The 22505-nt window shown below is 43.9% G+C and overlaps 1 protein-coding gene across 3 annotated transcripts in view, besides 1 other annotated feature; it reads right to left on the reverse strand.

The window, feature by feature from the left end:
* Positions 1 to 14837, reverse strand: part of SKOR2 (SKI family transcriptional corepressor 2) — a 45492-nt gene extending 30655 nt beyond the window's left edge. The window contains exons 1-4 of one of the 3 annotated variants that reach the window (NM_001278063.4): positions 14551 to 14837; positions 9748 to 12407; positions 8675 to 8738; positions 8085 to 8159 (exon numbers count right to left, since the gene is read on the reverse strand). In NM_001278063.4, coding sequence (NP_001264992.1) covers positions 8085 to 8159; positions 8675 to 8738; positions 9748 to 12360 — 2752 coding nt within the window. In that variant the 5' untranslated portion in view covers positions 12361 to 12407; positions 14551 to 14837. Of the gene's footprint in view, positions 1 to 8084; positions 8160 to 8674; positions 8739 to 9747; positions 12702 to 14550 lie in introns of those variants that run through there. The other 2 variants (XM_047437757.1, NM_001037802.3) reach the window with 2 other exon arrangements.
* Positions 14705 to 15221: an enhancer, noted in NCBI's record as "H3K4me1 hESC enhancer chr18:44777899-44778415 (GRCh37/hg19 assembly coordinates)". NCBI's record gives its function as "activates a minimal SCP1, AML or CMV promoter by ChIP-STARR-seq in naive H9 embryonic stem cells {active_cell/tissue: H9 hESC(naive)}" and the evidence as "EXISTENCE:reporter gene assay evidence [ECO:0000049][PMID:30033119]".

A 22505-nucleotide genomic window follows, 5' to 3' on the forward strand; every position in this document is an offset into this window, starting at 1 on the left:
ATAAGGCTTTTTCAACTTCTGCAAATCTTACTGATTTATCCCTTCCTGGGCTGAAGTTCTAAGTGCTTATTGTCTTTATTCTGCCCCTTTGTACCTGATGTTCTAGTGTTTTACAATATTAGTCTGGTCTTCCTCAGCTAGAAAATATACTTTCTGAGGGCAGAGAGATCCTACCCTACAGGTAATCCCGATCACCCCTACCTTAGGAAAGGGTACAAATACATTCCACAAATACTTGTTGTACTTTTTAATTCATTCTGCTTTGTAAGAGAAATACCAACTAACGCTATTCTAAATCCTTAGTTGTCATGACGAGTTTTAAAGCACTAACTTGTTCCTATATGTGAAAAGCACATTTTGATCCATTTGTATATTCTGACTAAATTAGGCTAATTATATATTCAGTTTACTGGGGAAATTTGTGATGCTCCAATAGAAAATAAGTTTTGTTCTCATCTGACATTTTGAAAATTTCTTTCAGGAACAAACAAAACCACAGCACTAAATTTTAACCATGACCTGAAAATATTAATTAGCGTATATGTCTACTGTAGCCTCCAACAGCAAAAATATTGTACATTTTTAGAGCTCATTTAACTATAAGAGCCAAACGAATGGTCAGGTGACCTGTTCCGTTGGTGGACATGAGAGAGGAGAAGCTGATTAAACAGTTATCACTCTTCTCAAGCTGAACTCTGAATTCAATAAATAAGAGCATTTAAATATTGTGTCCTGTACACATGTAGGGTATACCATGTATATGGGGTACAATATGAAACTTTTGCCATTTGAATAAAGATCAAAAAATGTGGCATTCACCCATCCCTTCTATGGAAATACATTCTTTCTCCTCCCCACCATTTTCTTTTCTTTTTCTTTTTTTTTTTTTTTTGAGACAGGGTCTTGCTCTGTTGCCCAGGCTGGAGTGCAGTGGTGTGAACATGGCTTACTGCAGCCTGTCCTTCTGGGCTCATGCGATCCTCCCACTTCAGCCTCCAGAGTAGCTGTGCCACTATGCCAGGCTAATTTTTAAAAATATTTTGTAGGTCTACCTATGTTGCCCAGTCTGGTCTCGAACTCCTGGGCTCAGGGAATCCTCCTGTTTCATTCTTCCAAAGTACTGGGATTATAAGCATGAGCCACTGTACCAGGCTGCCCCCAGTCATTTCATCCCTACTTGGTTTCCTACTCCTTGTCTTGGCTGTCTCCCTTTTAAATTCTCCCTTGAGCCAACAACTGGCACTTAGAAGCATGGCCCCAGCCAGCAGCCCCAGGGACTAAGTGGTTGCTTATCACTGAAAGGGCTATTATGTCCTCCCAGTACTATTGTTGACACTTCATGAAAAATATTTGGAGAAAATGTTTTGTTTTGATTTTTTTTAATAGAAGGAAAATGTCTGTCCACAGAGGAAGTCTGCAGAAAAAAAGAAAGAAAGTGTGTTATTTAATTGCACACTCACAGGTAAATTTAGTAAATAATTTTTTTCTTTTCTTTTCTTTTTTTTTTTTTTTTTTTTGAGAGGGAGTCTTGCTCTGTCACCCAGGCTGGAGTGCAGTGGTACAGTTTCAGCTCACTGTTATCTTCGTCTCCTGGATTCAAGCGATTCTCCTGCCTCAGCCTCCCGAGTAGCTGGGATTACAGGTGGCTGCCACCACACCTGGCTAATTTTTGTATTTTTAATATAGACAGGGTTTTACCTTGTTGGCCAGGCTGGTCTTGAACTCCTGACCTCAGGCAATCCACCTGCCTCAGCCTCCCAAAGTGCTGGGATTACAGGCATGAGCCACTGCGCTTGGCCAATTTAGTAAATAAAATTATTTTAGTTTAAGACTGTGTCTATACATGAGATACACATGCACTCTAACATCTGGATGAAGAAAGGTATTATAATTTCGGTCAAGTGTCCAGATGTTTCCATAGTTTGTGCAGACTCATGTGCTAGCTGTGTCTGTGTTCTGCTGCAGGGGAGCACACCCTAGAAGAGAAGCCATCTCCTGCATGCAAAGCTGCAAACAATCTTTGCATGCTGCTCCCAATGCACCTTCTTGCCCTTTTATGCTGGGCTGAGGCTCTGTCCTCCTGTTGCTCAACAGCAGGCACAGGGCCTGGCCACTGTTGAACAAAAGCTCCACGTATGCATGTTTAACTTCCAAATAAACTCTGAATTTTAAAATTGATCTTAGTCTTATAATCTGCTTCTAAGTGAGATTTTCTGGATTTTTTATTTTCTCTGTCTCTGATACTCTTAGAGGTATAATTTGGATAGGGTCAAAGTTAACCTACAGTTAGTGTAACTAGTACACTTAAGAATAACCAAAATACAGCACAACATATGGCATAGAGAGGTTTTTAAAAACACTTTGCATTAAGTCATTAAAAAATCAATTATATAAAAAAGCAAGGTTAAATAATTTTCTCCTCTATCAGTGGGATATAGACTTCTAATTTCTTGGTGTTAAATTCTACATTGAATGACTTCCCCTGTGATGTTTGGCACTTCAGTGAGGTCACAGAACAGAAAAGAAAAAAAAATCAATATCACTGGAAAGCATATGCTACAGAATGAACTAACTAAATATTAACTCCATTAGTGAAAAAAAAAGGAGCAAGTGCAAGATTAACTAATACCAGTGGGATTATAGTAAACTAAGAGTTATGGCAAACTTTACAATTCATGATCAAAATTTATTGCAAGGTGCATACACGTTGCATCTTGAATCAGTAAATTAAATATCTTTGATTAGTGCGTCTCGAGTTCATTTAGAAAGCTCTTGAGTTTTAGAACTGGTCTTGTGAGTTAATGCTGTTTAATTTTTTTTCCTGGACATTTTTTCATTGCCCTTCTCTATCTCCTTGAGTTCTATATTTTTAACAATCATTAGTAAGAAGGAAACGTTCATAAATAAAAATAAACAAATATCTGAAATAAGGAAACTATTTAATTTTGAATCCATGTATTGAAAGACTTCAAAATACATTGTACATAACTAAATGTTGCTAGTAAACTAGAGACAGGAGGTTTTATCAAATTTTATAGGTACATTAACTGAGAAACAAAATAGTTTAAGGGTTTACCTAATGTCACCTAGTGAGGGAATTAAAACTCAGATCTACTAGTCTATACTTCAAAGAATTTTTCTTATTTTTTGCTTTTTTTTAAAAAAATCATAAGCATGTTCAAAAATAGAATGGAATAATGAATCAGAGTGCTTCATCTGCTATATATTCATGAGAAGTGTAATTGCTTCTTACTATTCTCAGAAATCTGTCCATAGCATATTAAGTACACTAGAGAATCATACCAGTGAAAATCAAATTGATTTTAAAACTTCTATACATATAAAAAGATGCAGCCATGCTCACACTGCAATGGCACCAGCGTTTCTCCAGTGAAGGGGACTGAAAAGTGGGGATGACTCCACTTTACCTGATTTCCTTGACCTGCAATAGCTTTGAGCTGTCTTACCAGCTTACCCCACTGCATTCAATTTCAAATCACTTAACTTCACTAAAGTTATTCAAAATGGAAATGCAAAACCTTACTCTGGGATTGCAATTGGAAATACTGTCATTTATATTTTTGAGTAGGTAATATTTTGATGAAACTACCATCCCCCTTATCTATCTGACTTGGGTCTAATTTTAAAGGATCTATAGATAAAAGTTCTCCTGGCTTTTGGGTAATTTTGGCTGCTTGAGAACTTCATGTTTGGTCCCTCAATTATACAGAATTATATCTGCTGTATGTAAGGTTAATGACCATTAACAGGGAGGTTTTAAAAAAATCATTTAAAAATGTAATCTCTTCAAAATTAATGAAAAGTAATAGTTACTGATAAGGCTGACAGATTAAAGAAAGGCTAAACTTAATTAAAATGATGAACTAAAATATCAACTGGAACAAAGTATTGTTGCTAAACTGAATTTTTTAAAGGGATCAATTAAATATAGGTCTATATCTTTGTTCAGAGAAAGGTCATAGAGATTTTCTGGTTAACTATATTTATGGTTGCCACGGGAGTGAAAAATTCCTATAAAAATCAAAAATTGCATACCGACTTATCAGGCAGTTTGAAAAGACATTTCGTTCTTTTTTTGTTATAGCTATATAAGCATAGAAATAAAATATTGATATTTTCCAATAATAATGGTTGAATTAAACATTGGATTGGCTAAAGGGACACAGGGTTATATAAATCTTATCAGATGGTTTTTTGTGTAGACTACGATTATAGTACTCATACTGCCTTCTTAGGTAATCTGTCTCCTCCTCTTGATTGGAAGCAATGTGAGGGCAGGGACTCGTATTGATTTCTATTTCTGAATTCCCAGAGTCTAGGAAAGTACTTATTATACAGTAGGCATTCAAAGATATTTGTGGAGTAAATAAGTAAATAAACAAATGAATGCTATCATGTAGATAACGGTTGTTACATGGGGGAAAATATCTTCATTAATGAGTAAAGAATACTGGATAAAACATTTGGCTGCTACCACTCCAAAGCAGCTAATCACAAGCGCTCATAATCTCTTTGGCTCATCTGAATTTCTGACACTTTGCCAAATAAATGGATTCTCAGGATCTGACCACAAGTAAATACATTAATACCAAAACATAGGTCACTTGGGCCCCAGTCTGGGATTTTCTCAAATGTGTATTTCAATCTGAGGACCACAAGCTAATCTTTTCTAAAAGCAATGGCAGCTGACGGTGCACCAAGTTAAGTCCCACACAGTCCAAACCCTTTAAACACTTACTGGTGTTTAAAACATTTCCACGTGCTAAGCAAAAAACAAAAAACAAACAAACAAACAAAAAAAAAACCCATAACGATGAAGTTCTTGTGACCCAAGATTCCAAGATAAAGTTAACAAAGTATAGCCTTCACCTGAAATTTGCTTATTTTGATAATATATTTTTATCCCTTCCATGTTTCACCTGTCTCCCATTCAATACAGGATAATAAGATTGTATAACCTCCTACTACATACTTCCCAGAATAATGTGAGAATGAAACTGTGATATGGAAAAATCAATGTGGAACAAGTTTCTCTGGGAATCTGTATCAAATTAATTATTGTGAGGTAGGGACTAGCAATATTTCAATAGTATCACTACGTGTTATTACCAATATAACTATTGACCGCACTGCCCTGAGCTCCAGGCACTGTGGAATTTTTATATGAACACCGATCCTGACTGTACTTTTACTTACTTCCTTTTAGCATTTATATTTCCATCTTAATATCAAACAACAGTAGATACCATGGTTTTTATCTGCTTGGCTATCATTCTTAAGGTTCTGATGGCTTGTTAGGGTTTACTAGGTCAATAAGCATGGGGAAAACAAACCCCTCTTAAAGCCAGGAATTTGTTTTCAAATTCCATCCAAATCAGAGGAAGATGAAAGAGAGAAATTCAGTTTTTAACAAATATACAGAGACTATTAATATACATGAAATGAAGAGAATATAGCTCTGTGAAGGACTTAGTTTGTTCAAATATATTTATTAATAGATTGCTTGTGGGTATGGGTATGCATGGTTGTTGAAATGTTAACTGAAAACTTCTTAAAAAAATTATGAATGTTAGCTGTTAAATGCAGTGTAGGAAATTAAAGTTCCTAAAAGTAAATTTCAGACTGTGAAATTTGGATTTTCTCATTAAATTTATAGAAAATATTTTAAACATTAAATTATCCCATAATTTTGTATGAATCATTGTTACCCCTTGAAAAGCTATTGCACATGTTCCATCTTTTATAGCATATTTACAAAAATTTTTACCCAAATAGAGTTCAGCAGAAGTAGACTTATGAAGATTGATATTTATCTAGTAGATAAACGAAATTCAGGGTTGGGGTAAAGTTTGATGTCTGTCTAAATGTGTTATTTTGTATTAAATACATGTATATAATAATTTGAACTTTAATATTACCAATAGCCGACTCCAAGGTAAAAATCTCCAAATGTAGGAAGTCAAAAACAAATTAAAACTAATGTGTGTAAATTACAATGCACTAATTTTAACAAGCGACTCTAAAGCTTGTCTTAATACTGGTGAATGGAAAGCAGGTTTCACATCCTGCCTCTGAATGGGTCATGTTATTTAAAAAATACACAGCCATTGCTACATGAAAGTTTTCTTATTTTATTCAACTTTAGGCTTTACGGGGGCTTGCTTTCAAAATGGGGTCATACATAAGATAAAACAAAACAAAATAATAATCCTTCCAAATTAAGTTCTTGACAGTGCCACTGAGATGTGACATTGCTTTTAAACTTTCTTTCTGAGCTTTGTCTGTCTTGGTAGAGAGGAATGGGAATTCTCTAAGTGCTCATTGGTCGTACAAGACAGACCTAGCAAAGGTCTCCAATCCACTTCAGCAGCTGAAACGGCCGGAGGTGATTTGCATTCACTGGAGTACATATAGACTTCCCATCTGTGGTTTCCAGGCATGGGAGAAATTGGGCTACTTTTAAATCTATTTTTAGATATACAGAGCTGCTAAATATCATTTGATCTGGGACTAAGGAATGTTTCTAAAATTGTTTTTTCATATTCATGAATGTGTTGTTTCCAGTGGCTATTAATTTCTACACATATCAAACAAACAAAAGCAACTGACTATCTAGAAATGTCTGGGAAATGGCAAGATATTACAGAATCAATTGAATAGAATTATAAACCCTTTTTTGTGTGAGTGCATGCAAATCCATTAGAAATTCCTTGGTAGCAATGCTTTCCATTTCAGGCCTCAATTTTGTGAAATATCATACTAGGGAGGAGGTAGTTCCTGGAAAATATCATTGCCTTTGTGACTTTAGAGTGTAACAGGAAAATCTACATTTAATAATTTTACCACATTAGACACTTAGGGCAAATTTGCAAAAGATAATTTTATGAATTTTCAAAGGATATAAGGCTTTAATATGTGGAAGTGATAATAATAAAAACATTCAAAATGTGCTAACAAACAGGTAATGCCATAATGCACAAAATGATAGTATTGTGTATTATATGTAGACTTGTGGCCACTAACCAATGATATGCTACAAAATTATTATTAATAACTCCTCAGCATCATCAACCAAAATCGAATATTGATCAACACTTATACCATATTCATGAAATAATTTGGAAATATCTGATGATATATAAAGCTTTCTTCCCATGATACATAAAACATTTTATTTCATTAAAGTAGGTATTTGCCTTTTGCCATTAAAAATATTGAGAAGTTTCCTTATGAGAAAATAAAAACAAAGGTTTGGAGACCTTTTTCATTGTACTTTGCCGTTATATAAGATTCCTTTAAGATCCTATTTTCTTTATTTCTGCTCTCTACACCACTCTCTCTCTCTCCCTCACTTCCTAGCTTGCTCTCTCTGTCTCATTTGACAGGCAAATTTGCAGACATTGCCTCAGGATAACAACCTCGTTTGACAGTCAATTAACCGTGAATAGTCAAAGCCAAGGCAGTTTGCATTACATAAATGGAAAATTAGATTCCTTTTTCCCAAGAAACAAAACCCTCTCCTTAAGACACTGCAATAGACAACTTAGTATCAAAACTTCTAATCACGTCTTTCCCAAACCCCTTGGAGACATTTAGCAATCAGTAAAAGGTGGTTTCATTTAATTTGTATAATGTAATTTTTGTAAATGTATTATACATTTTGTGTAGAGATCATTATCATGGAGATAATATAAATGTTGGCATAGATGTCATAAAACACCTTTAATGTCTTTCTGACAGATATTAAAAGCAATAAGCTGTGATCCTTTTTAATGGAAGGTTTCTAAGAGAACATTTCAATTATTGTCATTTTATGCTTTTCCAGCCTGTTTCATTGTGTAACCTGATATATTTCTGAATTTTCTTCTGAAATATGCCCAGCAATTAATAATCTTATTGCTATTAATGTCACTGCTTCCCCATTTGTGTTTTTCTTAGTTATATCTACTAGGAATTGTTTTTTATTTTTACCCTTGTACTAAATATTCAGTCTTTTGATTATGAATTTCAGCCCCTCTCCCTGTCATCTGACTATTCATTCCTCTTATTTGTTCCCAGCCTACCTGATCTTTCTCTCCAAAAATCTCCTCCAGAAGCATCAGAGTCTGTGATGAAAAAGCTATGCTCCTTGTTCTTATCTAGAACCAAAACAAAACACAAAATCTGCAAGTGATCCAACTGACAAGAGGCACACAAAGATCCAATTTTTTTTTTTTTGCAGGGAGGATGCTACTTATTATATCTAAGTTTGAGAGCTATTAACTCCAAGGAGAAACAATCAGAAGGCTCTAGGTATTCTCCAAAAATGTGGCAACTATTCAGAGAGGACAAAGATATCTAAGAATTTTAGCATATATTTATGTAACTGTGTATGTTTAGAGGGCAGACATCATTCAAATGCAAAGAAGTATGCTGAGATTGTGAGAAATGGCACTGTTATTTGGGAAACTGTCATCGTTGGCAAACTATAGAAATGTTGATCTTTGAAATATAAACTCTGATATTCAAAAACAAAACCAAAAAAGAGCCCACAAATCAATGGTTAAAAACAGAATGGTGGTAGTGGGTAGGTGAGGAGGCTGGGCATAAGTCTCACAGAAATGGTTAAATGCAGGCAAGAAAAGTGGCAGCTGATTTTTTTTTTTTTTTTTACCTGAAAAGCTGTTGTCATCCTTTGTAGATACAATTACTTGGTTATTTTCCTTAGTTTTCTGACTCTGTGTGGAAAAGAATTAGACATACAAATCAATGCCCGGATCAAACCATATGCTAATGTCAACAGTCAGCAGGAAGAAGCATCAATAAAAGTGACTCCATGGAGCCTCAGGAGACATCATTTTTTGACGATTATTCTTTGAATACTTTTTTACTTAAATACATGTGTATGACTACGTATATCTACACTATTATCCTTTAAGAAGTAATACAGATTAATCAGATATATGCTATGTTATTTACAGAAGCATAGGCATATGCTTCTGTAAATAAACACACCATGTTATCTGTCAAATCTACACTTCATTAGGACAGATTCACTTCGCCCTAAAGTCCTCCAGAGTGTTTTCTGTGCACACGTGAGTGAACACTGAATGTTCAGTCATTTAAATTTAACTTTGGTCTTTTAGGGGTCCCAGGTAGTACTTTTCAGTTGGTACTTTTCCGAGAAGAGGGTCTATACTGAAGATCCTGTCTTTTGTTTCACTGGACACAACAGTTGTGTCCATTCTGGCTAAAACTGATTAAAGCAGTTAAAACTGCATTTAACTTTTGAAGCCAATGCATTTTTTACTTTTGGTCATGGTGGAGGGGAGGTACTGAACTATAGAGAAGAAAAGGGGTAGGGTGATTCAGGCTGCTCCGGTGTTGTGGTCTTGCTCCTTTTAGGGGAACAAATGTGCTCAGTTGGAGGGCAAAGGGGATTGTTGGATTAGAGGAAGGACCAGGTCAATTAAAGGGTCTTTTCCAACTTCCACAAGCAGCCAGCTGAAATATAAGAGGGAAAGGCGGCCCCAAAGCCTTTGAAAGGCGTTATCAAGAAAGGGACCAGAAACCACATTTTTACGGAGGACCACTGGCAGGAAAGAAGCCCTCCTAAACACACTGAATATTTCATTTCTGTGGGGAAATCTGGTGATTCATCTTTCCTGCGCATATGTAACCGATTCAGCCTAAAGGTGCATTTAAATAATAATAATTAGCTTGAAGGAGCCTAAAGGGGATATTTACATCTTTGTAGGAGGGCTGCTCCTCCAGTGATGGATGGTGAACTGGGCTGCCCGGGCTGCTGCTGCCGCCGCCACTCGCCTTCTGGGGGGCCAGGGGCGGCGGCGGGGGCGGGGGCAGGTCCGAGCCGGGGTCCCCGAGTTTCCCGTCTTCCTGCAGCAGCCTGGAGGAGTTCAGGCCGAGCGGGAACGCGCCCGCGACGGCCGGCGCGCGGTCCCGGCTGCTCCCCTTCTCCGACGGCCCTCGGCCCTGGAGGAACCGGCCGCCCCCGACTAAGGGGTCGCCGAGTAGGACCTCCGTCTCCTCGTCCTCTTCCTCGTCGTCGTCAGGGTCTCGACCTTCCTCCTCTTCCTCGCCCTCGGGGGGCTTGTGGCCCTCCACGTCCACCTCCTGCTCTTCTTCCTCGTCGTCCTCGTCCTCGGAGCTGTCCTCGCTGGGGTAGCAGCAGCTGGTTCCCCCGGGAGACAGAAGGCCTCGGTGGTGCGGGTGCTGGGCCAGAGGGGGCGGCGGGGGCGGCGGCGGCGGCGGCGGCGGGGCCGGGTGGTGGCGCTCGGAACCCGGCTCGTCGGGCTGCGGGGGCAGCAGCAGAAGCGGCGACGGCGGCTGCGGGGGGTGGTGGTGGTGGTGGTGGTGGTGAGGGTGGTGATGGTGGTGGGGATGCGTCTGGGCCGAGTGGGGCGCGCCCGCCGACGCCCCGTGCAGCTTGGCCAGGCTCTCCGCGTCGTCCTTGCCGCCCACTGGCCGGAAGGCGCTGGAATGGTGGTAGCTGCCACCGCCCGCTTTGCGCCCCTCCAGAAGGTGCGGATGGTGGGGCGCCGGAACCCGGGAGCCCGCGGGGCCAGACCCGGCGGCCGCGGCCCCTGCCCCGGCAGCTGCCACAGAGTCCGCGGGCGGCGTGGAGCCCGCGCTGCAGTCCCCGCCGCTGCCGCCCGGGGGCGACTCGAAGAGCGCGTCGCGAGAGCCGGCGCCCCCGGCAGGAGGAGGTGGGCCGGAGCCCGGGCCGTTGGCCACTACCTGCGGGGGCTGCCCCGGCGGGGGCGCGGCCTCGGCGCTCCCAGCAGCACCGCCTGGCTCAGCCAGGTCCAGGAAGGCCTGGCGCAGCAGGGCCGGGCTTTCGCCTAGCGCGCAGCCTAGCGCCGAGGGCGGCTGAGGCGGGGGCTGCAGGTAGGTGGGCACCGGGAGCCCGCCAGGGGTCCGCGGCGGCCAGAACATGCAGAAGGGCGGATAGAAGGCGTCCTTGCGGCCCGCGGGCCAGAAGAGGCCGGACAAGCCGGCCTTGGGCGCCGCGCCCGCGCCGCCTGCGCCCGCGCCCCCCAGGGCCTCAGCGGCGGCACCCGCATCCTCTTTCTTATGGCACAAGCTGAAGGCGGCGGCCGCGGCAGGGAAGGTGTAGGGGTGCGGGAAGAGCCCGCCGCAGCCCGGGAACTTCTGCAGGACGCCCCCGAACGAGCCCTTGCTGGGCACCGGGATGACTGGGTAGCTGCGCGGGCCTTTGGCCCCTGCCCCGGCACCCGCCCCCGCGCCCGCGCCCACGCCCACGCCGGCCACACAGCCACCCCCAGCGCCGCCCCCACCAGTCCCCGCGCCGCCCGAAGCAGCAGCCACAGAGAGGCTGGCGGCTGCGGCCGAGAGGCTGGCGGCGGCCACTACGGCGGCCTCCTGCAAGGAGTCGTCGTCGTCGTCGAAGCGCGGCCGCTTGTGATGGGCGTGCGGGGCACCAGCCAGCTCTGCCAAGGGCGGCGGTGGCGGCGGCGGCGGCGGGGGCGCACCCAGCAGGTGGGGGCCCAGCAGACCCCCGCCTCCGGCCACCGCGGCCGCGGCGGCCACGGCGGCCGCCTTCACAGAGCTGAGCGGGTGGCAGGCGGGGTGCGCGCCCGGCTGGGGCAGTGCGCGCTTGCGGCTGCCGCCGTTGAACATGGCCTTGACGTCCTCCCAGGCGAAGACCAGCTCGTCCTGGGGACTCTTGTCGGTGAGCTTGAGATGACGGCGCCACGAGTTGAAGTTGGCTGCGTCTGGCTGAGTGTACTTGGCGTCGGGCGTGCGGTGGGAGTGGAAAATGAACTTGTTGGGCGAGAAGTACATGTTGCAGTAGCTGCATTTGATGCACTTGGCGCGCGAGCTGTTGTAGCGCGCGGGAATGAAGCTGCCGCGGCAGCCCCAGGCGCACTCGTGTGACACGTCGAAGGCGAAATTGTCTGGCAGCTTGGGCGGCCTGTTTTCGCCCAGGAACGACTTGCACAGACGCTCGGCCTCGCGTTTGGTGATCATGCCGCAGCGGCGCGATGAGATGGGCATGGCCCCGGCACGCCGCAGGATCTCCAGTTGCACCGGCGTGCACTGCACACACGTGATGCCCAGTGCCACGCGACGGTTGTGGATCTCGTTGTAGCTGAAGTTCTTGAGCAGAGTGTTGGAGATCTGCGCCAGGCACAGGCGCTCTTGCCCGTCGATCACCAACGACACGATGGGAATGCCGTAGAGGATCACCTGGCCCACCTGGTTGGGTTTGAGGTTGGCGTGCCCTGGCCGCGGCTGGCTCAGCGTGTCGGGCTGGAAGGCGCTCGACGGCGACGCCAGCAGGATGTCGTTGGGCCCTGGCAGCGGACTGGAAGCCATCTCCGCCGCAGAACCCCGGGCCGAGCCCTACAGGTCTGCCTTGGACACTGGAAGGGAAAGGAGAAAGCGTTGACTTGAGCCTTTTCAGACTAAAACAGAGGGGTGGGATGAATCGCTAACCAAAGAATTAGAATAACTTTCTTGCTTTGGTTAAGACACGATTATTACTGGAAAAAGTGACCAAGTTTTGAACACAAGAAAGTCATCTCTTAATTTCCTTCAAGGCCATCCTTTAGAAATGCAGGAATTTGCACTTCTTAACATTTAAAGTGAATTAACTATGTATTTTCCTCAAAAGCAGTGAATTCCTAAGAAACCTAAGACCTTATCCCGGATTTATAGGAGCCGTTGGAATAAAATGGCTTGCTTCTAGAAATTAAATAGTAACGATAGTTGTAACTAGTACAGATAATAAAAGTTACGGAAAACTGGGGCTTGGCCATTGAAACCCAAATTTAAAGAGCTGTCATTCTCATTTGCTTGGAGATAGATTGATTTTGGTTAAAAAGTAACCCCCAAAACCCTTTAAAAAGTGATTTTCTTGGTGTCTATGGTTTCCTTGGGGAAATTCATTATTGGTTGAAACACAGGTCATTAAAGCAAAACGAAATCAGCCTTCTCCCTCACCCTTGCCATTAGATATTTTGTTACTGTAATTAGAATTATTTTTTTGAAAAGGTGAAAAATGTACAAAGTCATATACACCGTTGCACCAAAATAGAATGTTTCAGTTTTTAAAAAACCTACTTGCTGAACTGAGTGGTTCTGGTCTCAGATGGTTAGGTAGCTTAAAAACATGAAGTTGAAGATGGTAGTCATTTAAAAACTGTTTTACTGTCATTTCCATGACGATAAGAAAGTAAGTAGAGGCAAGGGTGTTAAACCCAGAAACAGTACACAGGAATGAACAATTCTTGGGGATCTTCATTGGCAGACTTCAAAAGGCAAATTTTTTAGCTTGATGTGAACCACCTTCTGTGACTCTTTTCCCCTAATTTATTTTGATATCTCTATATCTTTATGGGGAAAAGCTGCCCCACCATACAGCCAATCGGTGGACTAGGTAATCTATGGGAGTGTTGAAAGTCGAAATCCCAGGTTGGGTCTGTGGTAAAATTTCTAACTTCACCTCCAGTCAACAGAATGCCACAATGAGGGAAAATATTCAGTAAGTTGAAAATACAGAACAAGGAAGCGGAAAGAAATTTTAGTGACAATGCCACTAAGTGGAAAGAAGGAAAGTGGCTCACTCCCTAGGAAAACAAACACTGATCTTTCCACAGCTACATCTCAAGCGCATTGGCCAAGGCATGCTTTGCCCTGAAAAATCACCAGAGGCCATAGCGTGGCCCCTTTCGGCCACGTACAGCGAGTTCGCTATTACAGTGCTTTCAGAGGGTACACGATCTTACTCCCTCACCCAATTTCTTATCCGTGTCCTCTCTCTGGGCCCCTGTGGCATCTATACAGCAGCCTCTGTCCTGCTGCCCCCTGGATCCTCAGTTCTCATTACATTTGGCGGCCTCCAGGAAGCTTGAACAAACCTCGACGCGATCAAAGGAGAGGAAAGCCTGCTTGTCACTTTGGGTGGATCAGAGACAATATTTCCAGGGGACAGGGCGTTACATGGCAGTTCAAGGCGCAGTGACACCCGAGTCTGATACAACCAACACTAGCTTCGTCAGGTGGCCCTTCGATGCTCATTTCCCTACCAAACAAGATTCATATCCGCTTAATAAGACCCTGGGATAATTCCAACTCTCGCTCCCCAGCAAGGCGCGCGGCTGGCCAGCCGGGGCGGGAAGCTGGCTCTGCGTTAAGGACTCGCAGCCTTAGCAGCAGTAGACCAGGCAGAAGTGTCTCCTCACTTTTACCCCAAGCCCTCCCAGAAACTGCCGTCAGAGCAGACACAAGGTTTTGGTTGGGGCATTATTTTTTGGGTGGGTGGGGAGGGGAGAAGAGACAATTAAAAGTTAGTTGAACTGAGAAAGGAACCTGGTGAACTTCCCTATCCTGCCCAACAGCCAAAGACCCCCCCACCCCCAACTTAGTTCTCCCGACTCCCAAACCAGTCACCACGGAAGCCCACCGCTGCCCCTCAACCTAACGCGGAAAATCCTACCGCTGGGGATCTCAAATAGGTGCCCAGCAAGCTGTGTGCCGGATTGGGGCGGCCGGTTCCGGCAATACCTGGTAACCTCTGGGTGTCTTTAGGCGTGTGGCTGCCGGCCCATCTTCCGAGGGCGCTCGGAGGCGAAGCATCCAAGCGGGTCCTCGTATCCAGCGGGCGGGACTCTGGCGGGCTCCGCGCGAAGATCCGGGCTCTGGCCCGAGCGAATGGCGCTCAAACCCCGGCCTGGGGAGAATGACGGCCTGAATTGCGGCGGGGCGTCCCCTCCACCGCAGAAAGTGTGGGTACGCAGAAACCCGCGGCAGGAGAGCCCCAAGTGGAGCGCAGTCTGACAGCGTCTGTCTCTGAACTCGTGTCGGACCGAGGGGACGCCACCCAGCGGGCAGGGTGACGTCACCGTCTCCCTGACACTCCACATTAAAGGGCTGGCATGTTACAGGGAGGGAGGGGGAGAGCGAAAGCCAGCGCGAGCAACAGAGAGATCCTTTCTCAGCAGGCACGAAAGCTACCAACCTAACCAACTCGCAATTGACAACAACCTCCTCAGCCCCGGAGTAAACTGCAGCAATGGTGCTGGAGCCGCAGATCTGATTTAGGAGTGGAAAGCGAACAGTCTGCCTGCATCCCGGGACCTAGATCCTGGAGGCCCCGGATTCTAGAAGGACGCCTCCAAATTAACTATATCCCTGACCGTTATTGTCTCCTCCCCTCATTTCTGAGTCACCCTCCTTCATGAATGATCCCTCTGGTACAGGATGCAAAGCTGCTCTGTGTCTGAAGACAGAATCCACAGTCAGCTGGAGAATAAATTAGCTTCAGTGACTCCTTTGAAACGCTATGAAATGAGAAAAAGGAGAGAAGTTTCCACATAGGGTGCCCAATCAGAAAACTTGGAGTGCCCCGACTTTTGCATATACATTTGCTTTATAGGACAAGATGCAGAGTCACTGCAGCCTTCTCTATTTTATGGAGTGTACAATTAGGTGAGGACCCCAATATGTGCATATGCACATCGATTTATCAAACTTCATTCAGAATCGTCCTCTAACCCATTTTACAAGATCCGTAAGGCTACCTCTACACAAGGAAAGGGTGGGGCAGGGAAGCAGGGAGGTCCCCCACATGGAAGAGTCCTTCAGCAAGTTGCCAATTTTCCTGGAGAAATAAATAAATTTAATCAGGAAAACATGTAGAAGCATGATCTCCTCCCCTAAAATAAAGACTAGGATGAGAAAACATTTCCTCACAGTTTCCCTAAATGAGGCGCACCCTAGTGTATTAATGAAGTGTCAATATAGTGCGTCCCAATTGACCAGCTGTTAAGAGTCAAAACGACCACTGGCTAGTTTATCGGAAAGGAAAGAAACCACTTATTTGGAGTATGTTCTAAGAAGGATGCCGGCTGGGGTGGGGCTGGGAAATCCTTTAAGTTTTTCCTTTACTACCATAGCTGAATTTTCAATTGCTGCCTAGTGAAACAGTCCTAGCATTGTGGAAATGATGGAAAAACATCTACCAAGCTGAAAGCCCACCCAGATTGTGTCATAGCACCAACAACATACCACTCCTAAATACAAGAGCAAAAATGTGAAATCTTAACCTTCATCAAAGGTTAATAAACCCAAGGAAAGTCAATTGAACAGAAACGTGAGGGGCTTGTTGCTCAGGAGTTGTGTCTATTTTAAATTAATATCCTGAAAACACAGTTACAGAGACATGAAAATCGAAACGTTTGGGCATAAGTTTCAACGGGCAATGAAAGAATTTTTCACCCATCTTCTAGTTTCTAAAGACATTCAAGGCACAAATTGGGCTTTATCCTAAGGGGCTGAAATCAACCTAGTGCTCCCCCGCCAATACCCCAAAGCCTCCCATCCTAAAAAGAAGGAAAACTCACACTTTCTGCCTACCCAGCCCATTGGCCAAAAGCGCGCCATTGTCATTCACAAATCCCTTCTCTCTGAGGCCGAAGGCTCAGTGCTCTTTAGAAGGTTTCAGGGCTAAGCTGGTTCTTTTCCCCTCCTCTGCCTCCTCTCTGGGGTCAGGGGCTCCCACAAAGGGAAACGTTCCCAGTTCCCAGACTGCCAGGAAGAAATCTTGAGCCACGTGGAAACGAACCCTGGAAATGGGGCTGATTTTACGACTGAGAGCGGGAAGAAAGGAGAAGTCCTATCACCTCTCTAACTACCACAGGGAAATATCTGGTTGCTGCCGGGGAGGGAGAACTACGAGGTCTTCACTTTTGATTGTACAGTTCCCATTGTTACCCCACAAAGCTCCTCTTCCTCTTACAGATCCCTATCTTTTAAAAAAGAGTGTCTTCAAAAACAGATTTATTTGACAAGAGAAATGGGCTGAATCTTTGCCTTCCCTCCCATTCCAGGTTACCCTGAGGACTGAATCCACATCTGGGTGGCACCTGTAGCCACTTCCTTACCTGAATTTTAAAACAGAAACATTTACAAATTACTTTTGGGCTTACTGCCTACAAGCCTTAACTTTCTTCCCCAGTGCCCTCCCACCCTACAGGACAAACAGGATACACAACTTTAATAGAAAAAGGTTTCATTGGAAGGAAAAATGAGTGGTATTAGGTTAAATAATTTTACACAATTCTAAGAATAGTTCAGTGTTTTATTTCCCCTATGAGTCTAGGGTGCCTGTTTAAAAAGTCAGGTCAATTATATATTTTTGGAAGGTAAAAGTGGATAACAGTTATTCAAAGACTTCACACTTGCCCCCAGTGAATCCTCATCTTGAGACCAGAGCTGGACTGCAGAATCACAGCCTGTTGGTATATTTTGAGTCTGCGAGCAACCTTCTGCCACCCACTGTCTCTGTGACCCTTTGTTTTCTCCTCAGTTTGAACAAGTCTCCTGCTGGTCCTCTGTGGAGTCCTTGTCAGTCCCTGTTCTGGCCCCTGGGACACTGGCAGGCTCAGGGAGGAGTCGACGGTGGCGAGAGGAGGCTGGTCGAGCCCGAGTTAATCAATGCTTTCCTCTTCGAGCTGACATGCATTTTACACGTCAGGACTCTCCTCAGCCGGCTAATTGATTCAAATTGTTTTATTGGTTAAACTGGTGTCACCCATTTTCATGATCTATCACCACATGGAGGAGAGCATTTCCACTCCCATCTCCGTTCCGGGCGGCTGCGGTTCACCCAGGCCAAGGACAGGTAAAGGAGCCCAGACGCGGGACCCAGAGGAAAACCACAAACCGAGCTGGCCTCCTCATAACTGGAGAGGCGACGTCTGGAAGTAAGAGGAGGAGGCCGGCACAGCAGCGCATATGGGCTTCCAGCTACAAATTTAAACTGGTTGAAGAGAACCCACGCTCAGCCGGGCCTGGGCCCAGTTTCCTCCACCTGGGACACAGTCGGTTTCCGAGCCGGCGTTGAACTCCGCGGTATAGGAGGCCACAACAAAACCCGGGTGGGAACTGTCCGCGGTGCTGACGAGATGCATCGTTCCAAAGCACAGCGAATCCTACTGTGTTCAAGTCGGGAAGAAGCCTCCCAGCATGTAATTGAGCCCTAGATTCGGCTCTGGGCGGGCTCGAGCAGAGCCTCATAGTCTTAAGAGGCGGGCAAGGTGCAACACAGAACCACACCCCCTACTTCTCCCACACTTGCCCCATCTCCAAGGACTGAGCAATCCAGATCTCTCAACCCCACCCCCTTCCTTGCATTGACAGCAAAGAAAATAAAAGCCTGGACAAAAAATCATTACAATCTGAAACACCAGATATGCCCTCTCTTCCCACTCCCAGTTTGGATGTTAAGGAACGCATGACCGTTACAGATCAGAAAAACAGCCTCTATCCTTCTCTCCCACTCCCTCTTACCCCATTCTCAGCTCTTAGGCAGAAATCTTACTGCTCCCATCTCCCTGATAGAAGTGTCCCTGGCATTGGTATTTCTGCATCAAATAGGGCAAGAAATGATTTCTCTGTTAGTCCCAAGCCTGCAAAAGTTGACCCATATGGCCCAGAAAGAAACTGGGAGACTGGCAGTACTGGAAGGGGCAGAAGAATTCTGGTATATTAGAAAGAACCGGAGATTCAGAATCAGATGAAACTGAGTACAAATTTCTCCTCAATCACTGACTAGCTGTGGAATCTTGCTCAGATACCTCACCTCCCCAAGCCCCTGTTTCTTCATTTGCAAAATGAGGAGATTGATAGGTAGCCCACAGGGGTGTCGTGAGAATTAAGTAAGATCATATATGCAAAGTGCATGGCACACAGTAGTCATTTAATACACGGTAGTTTTAAAAGCATTTTCCTCAGAGAATGGGGACAAGAGCTAGTACTGTCCTGTTACAAGATACATTAGAAATCTTTAATAGCTCCAGAATAAAAGATATCAAAGGCACTTTACCTTAGTGGTGAGCAGAGAGGGAACCAAGTTCTCTGGAGGAACATTAGTCCTTTTGTTAAAATTTTATCTGGCCTTTAATTGGTCTAGTCTTTATTTTATATACAGTTGGCCAGAACCCCAGCTAGCATTTGTTTAACCCATTGTAAGTAGATTGACAATAAAGATTAGCAATGATAATGGCCATAATGATAACGATTGCTGATAACCCTCAGCTCTCACTTTCTACCCTAAAAACCTTTCTGCAGCCGGGCTCAGACTCCCTGGTTTTCCGTTTATTGCCCCAGCTGTGGTTGCATGGAACAAACCAGGGACTAGGAGCAAACTAAAGATTTATTCATGGCGGAAGTCACAGGATGAACTAGAAAGGGCTCCGAGCATCCTGGGGCTAACTCAATCTTTGAATCTTCTCTGAAATATTGTTTATAAACAAGGGCCCAGTCCAAGAGAAGTACAGCGAGAGCACAGACCAAATATTCTAAACTGGAATTGGGAAGGGAAACTGAGCATACTTTGCAGGACCGGTATTCCTGCCCCAGTGATCCCTTGAGTTCTTCATGCACCAGTGACTATGGGAATCAGTGAGCTCTTACACTTCAAACAAGCACCTTTTAAAGAAATAGTGATGGTGGGAGGAGAAACTGAGACTCGATTGTCCTTAATCAGAGGAAATCTTTGTCACAAAAAAGCTTGCTTTTGGGTAAGTGGCAGAGAAGAGTCTTAACCTCCTTACCCTTAGTTCACAGGGACTAACTGAAACAGTTGCTATTGGCCTTTCTTTATTGTAAGAGAGAACACCTATAAGTCCTCCCAAACCTGTAAACACAGCAAGGCACACATGTGCACATCGTTTCCATGAAGTAATAATATTCAGAATGGAAGATGAAGTTGGTGAACTTGGTGGTCACTTAGCAAATATTAGTTGAACAAGATAAAATTCAAAGGCACACAAAATACCTGAGGATACACACAGACCCATGGATGCACACTCCCTGAACACACCTGTGAATATGCATCTAAGAAAAACACTGGCACAGGGAATAAGCCCACTAGGCTCTCTCGCTTTTCTCTTTTCTCCTTTCTCTCTCTCTCTCACTCTCTCTGTCTCTTTGCACGTATACACATATGTACCCGCCCTCTCCACCCACCTCCTCCCCATATAGGGAAGGAGGGGGTCCTTTGAAATGGAGGTGGTCCCAGCTGGAAAACCCCGGAGCTCATTTAGATCACATCACTTCAGGCTTTTGTCTCTGCTCCTGAATAACCTAGGCTGCTACAACAAAAGGATAAGGCATCTACATGGAGTTTTCATTGGCAAAGATGCATCTCAAAGATGCTGCTATAATAATGAATAACAAGGCAAGATGCTTGCCTTTTCTGATTGACACTCCTAAAGAAGGGAGAGGAGAAAAAAGGAGAAGGGAAGAGGGAGAAAGTGGAGTAGGAAATTGGATTGGGGAAGATGAAACCACAGCAAGTATTTGGTTGCATTTCTGCAAAAGAGTCTTTAATCATACAAAGACTCCAACTACCACTAAGTATGAGACATGAGGCCTAGGGCTTATTTTATTTTACAACTGGCTATTTTGTTTCAAACAACCAGTTTAAGAAGTAAATAAAACTGAGGATGCAGAGAGGGTGTGGAGAGCAGGACCCTTTAAAGCTTGGGGAGGGGAAGCAAAGGAGTGGGAGTAGGGGGAGGGGTTGTAGATTGTAGTTGACATGTCACGAGAGAGATGTACATTTACCATCTCCCCAGCTGACACTGGTGGAAGGAACATTGGATTTTATTTCCTAAGGAAATAAAGGCTTTCTTTTTCCCTTTCCTACTGTTTTCTCTATCTTACCCTCCCCCATCATTCAACTCATCTGAAAAATTTCTACTTTTCCATCAAGCTTGATCCCATTACCTAATGCACTATTAAACTATCTTGTGTTCTCTGACTGCCCAATAAGCATAATGCCTTCTGCTTCTCTCCTGCCTGCACACTTTAACTCAGTGGTAGCAAAAGATAAAATTAGATGTTAGCAAAATAAATCCCAGGGAAGAGGGTGATAGAAATCTGAGTCATTGATTTTTTTTTTTTTCTTGAAAATACAGCAACCAGTCAATATGCAGAGAGAATGTTGGGAGACATTTTCTATTTTGGTGTATTTAAAAGTTATTTTTTAAGCAAAAAAAAATTAAAAAAAAAGGCTTTCTGTCATGGAGCTTAAGGGGTTCCAAGTGAAAGTGCAGCTAAACAGACCAAAGACAATACCATCCCAAACTTCTTCAAGACACATTATGATATCATCAGCAAACTCTTAATGTTGGCAAATAATTAAATTTTCTATCTTTTAGAACTGTGTAACCTTGGGTGTCTTAGAAACAAATTGTACAAACAAACCATGGAGATGAGCACTGAGGGTTTCAGAAGAGATATAATGAACCAACTTTAATTACTAACTTGAAATTAAAAATGTAATATACAGATTTAAATTTATTTTCACCTAAATTGTGTATAAAATTATATGGCTTTTGCAGGCTAAGAAATGCTTTGTAACCAGCCATGCTACTAAAAAGTCTGAAGTAGTTTCCAAAACTGAGTTCCCAGACTCACACAGTAATAATGATACATTTATCATTACTGATGACCACCTACTGGGTAATTATTGCTTTGTTACTACTATTACAATCAAGAGATTTCTTTATTTACTGTTAACATTCACTTAAAACTGAATGTTAATGACTGTTCTGAATTCACCAAAGAGAGTTTTCTGTTATATTTCAGAAGTACTTACGTCCTGGTTCAGAAATGGAAAACCATATCATAACAGAGTGGAAGGCTGGGTGAGCACTTGGTTCTCACCCTCTCTTGAGAATGAAAACAGTATTCTGAGGATTTCTGGAGCAAAATTTTCCAGCTCAGAGTTGCAAAAGGTTAACATAATGCAGCCACTTGACTTGTGCTAATTATGTAAGTATTTTATTACAGGAGATTCATTCATTATTGATGCTTGTTTGCAGTAACTTCCTGCTTGGGGGAGTTATATTTTATATGAGAAGTAAACAACCTATGGCTCCAGGGCTAGCCTCCTCCTCATCTGATTTCCTCCTACCCCTTTGTCTAGTTTCACAACAATCCTCCTGGGTTGGTATGTCCCTACTGAGGCAGAGAGACAATTCCCTAAGAATTTCCTCTTCTCCCTCCATTTTCTTTTCCCATTCAGAACTTCCTTGTTCTTAAAAGGTAGAGTTCAGAGTATGGAAGTGTTGAGGTGGGGAGGAGGTAGGCGAGAAAATAAAACTGTTTGGCCACAAATTTTTCTCTTTGGAAGCTACTCTCAGCTCTTAGCCCAGAAATATCAGAAGTCAGTCTGGCCTTTGGTATACCCAGAGGTTAGGAGATGGTCATTTTGGAAGTGGACATGGTGGATGCTGTTGACCAATGGTCAAGCTCAGAAAGAGGCTCCTTCCTATCCCCTAAGTCAGAACCTCATCTCAGAGCTATTGGTGGTTGGTGCAGTCTACAATATCTTCTTCCCTGGGCCAATGCCCTGGGAAGATACGGCCCTATGCCCAGTTGCACTAGGAAAAGACATCGCTTTGCTGTGGGATGGCCTCCATGAGCCCCTGTGAAGGACTGTGTTGGCT

Source organism: Homo sapiens, chromosome 18 (assembly GCF_000001405.40).
Source record: "Homo sapiens chromosome 18, GRCh38.p14 Primary Assembly".
NCBI lineage: Eukaryota > Metazoa > Chordata > Mammalia > Primates > Hominidae > Homo > Homo sapiens.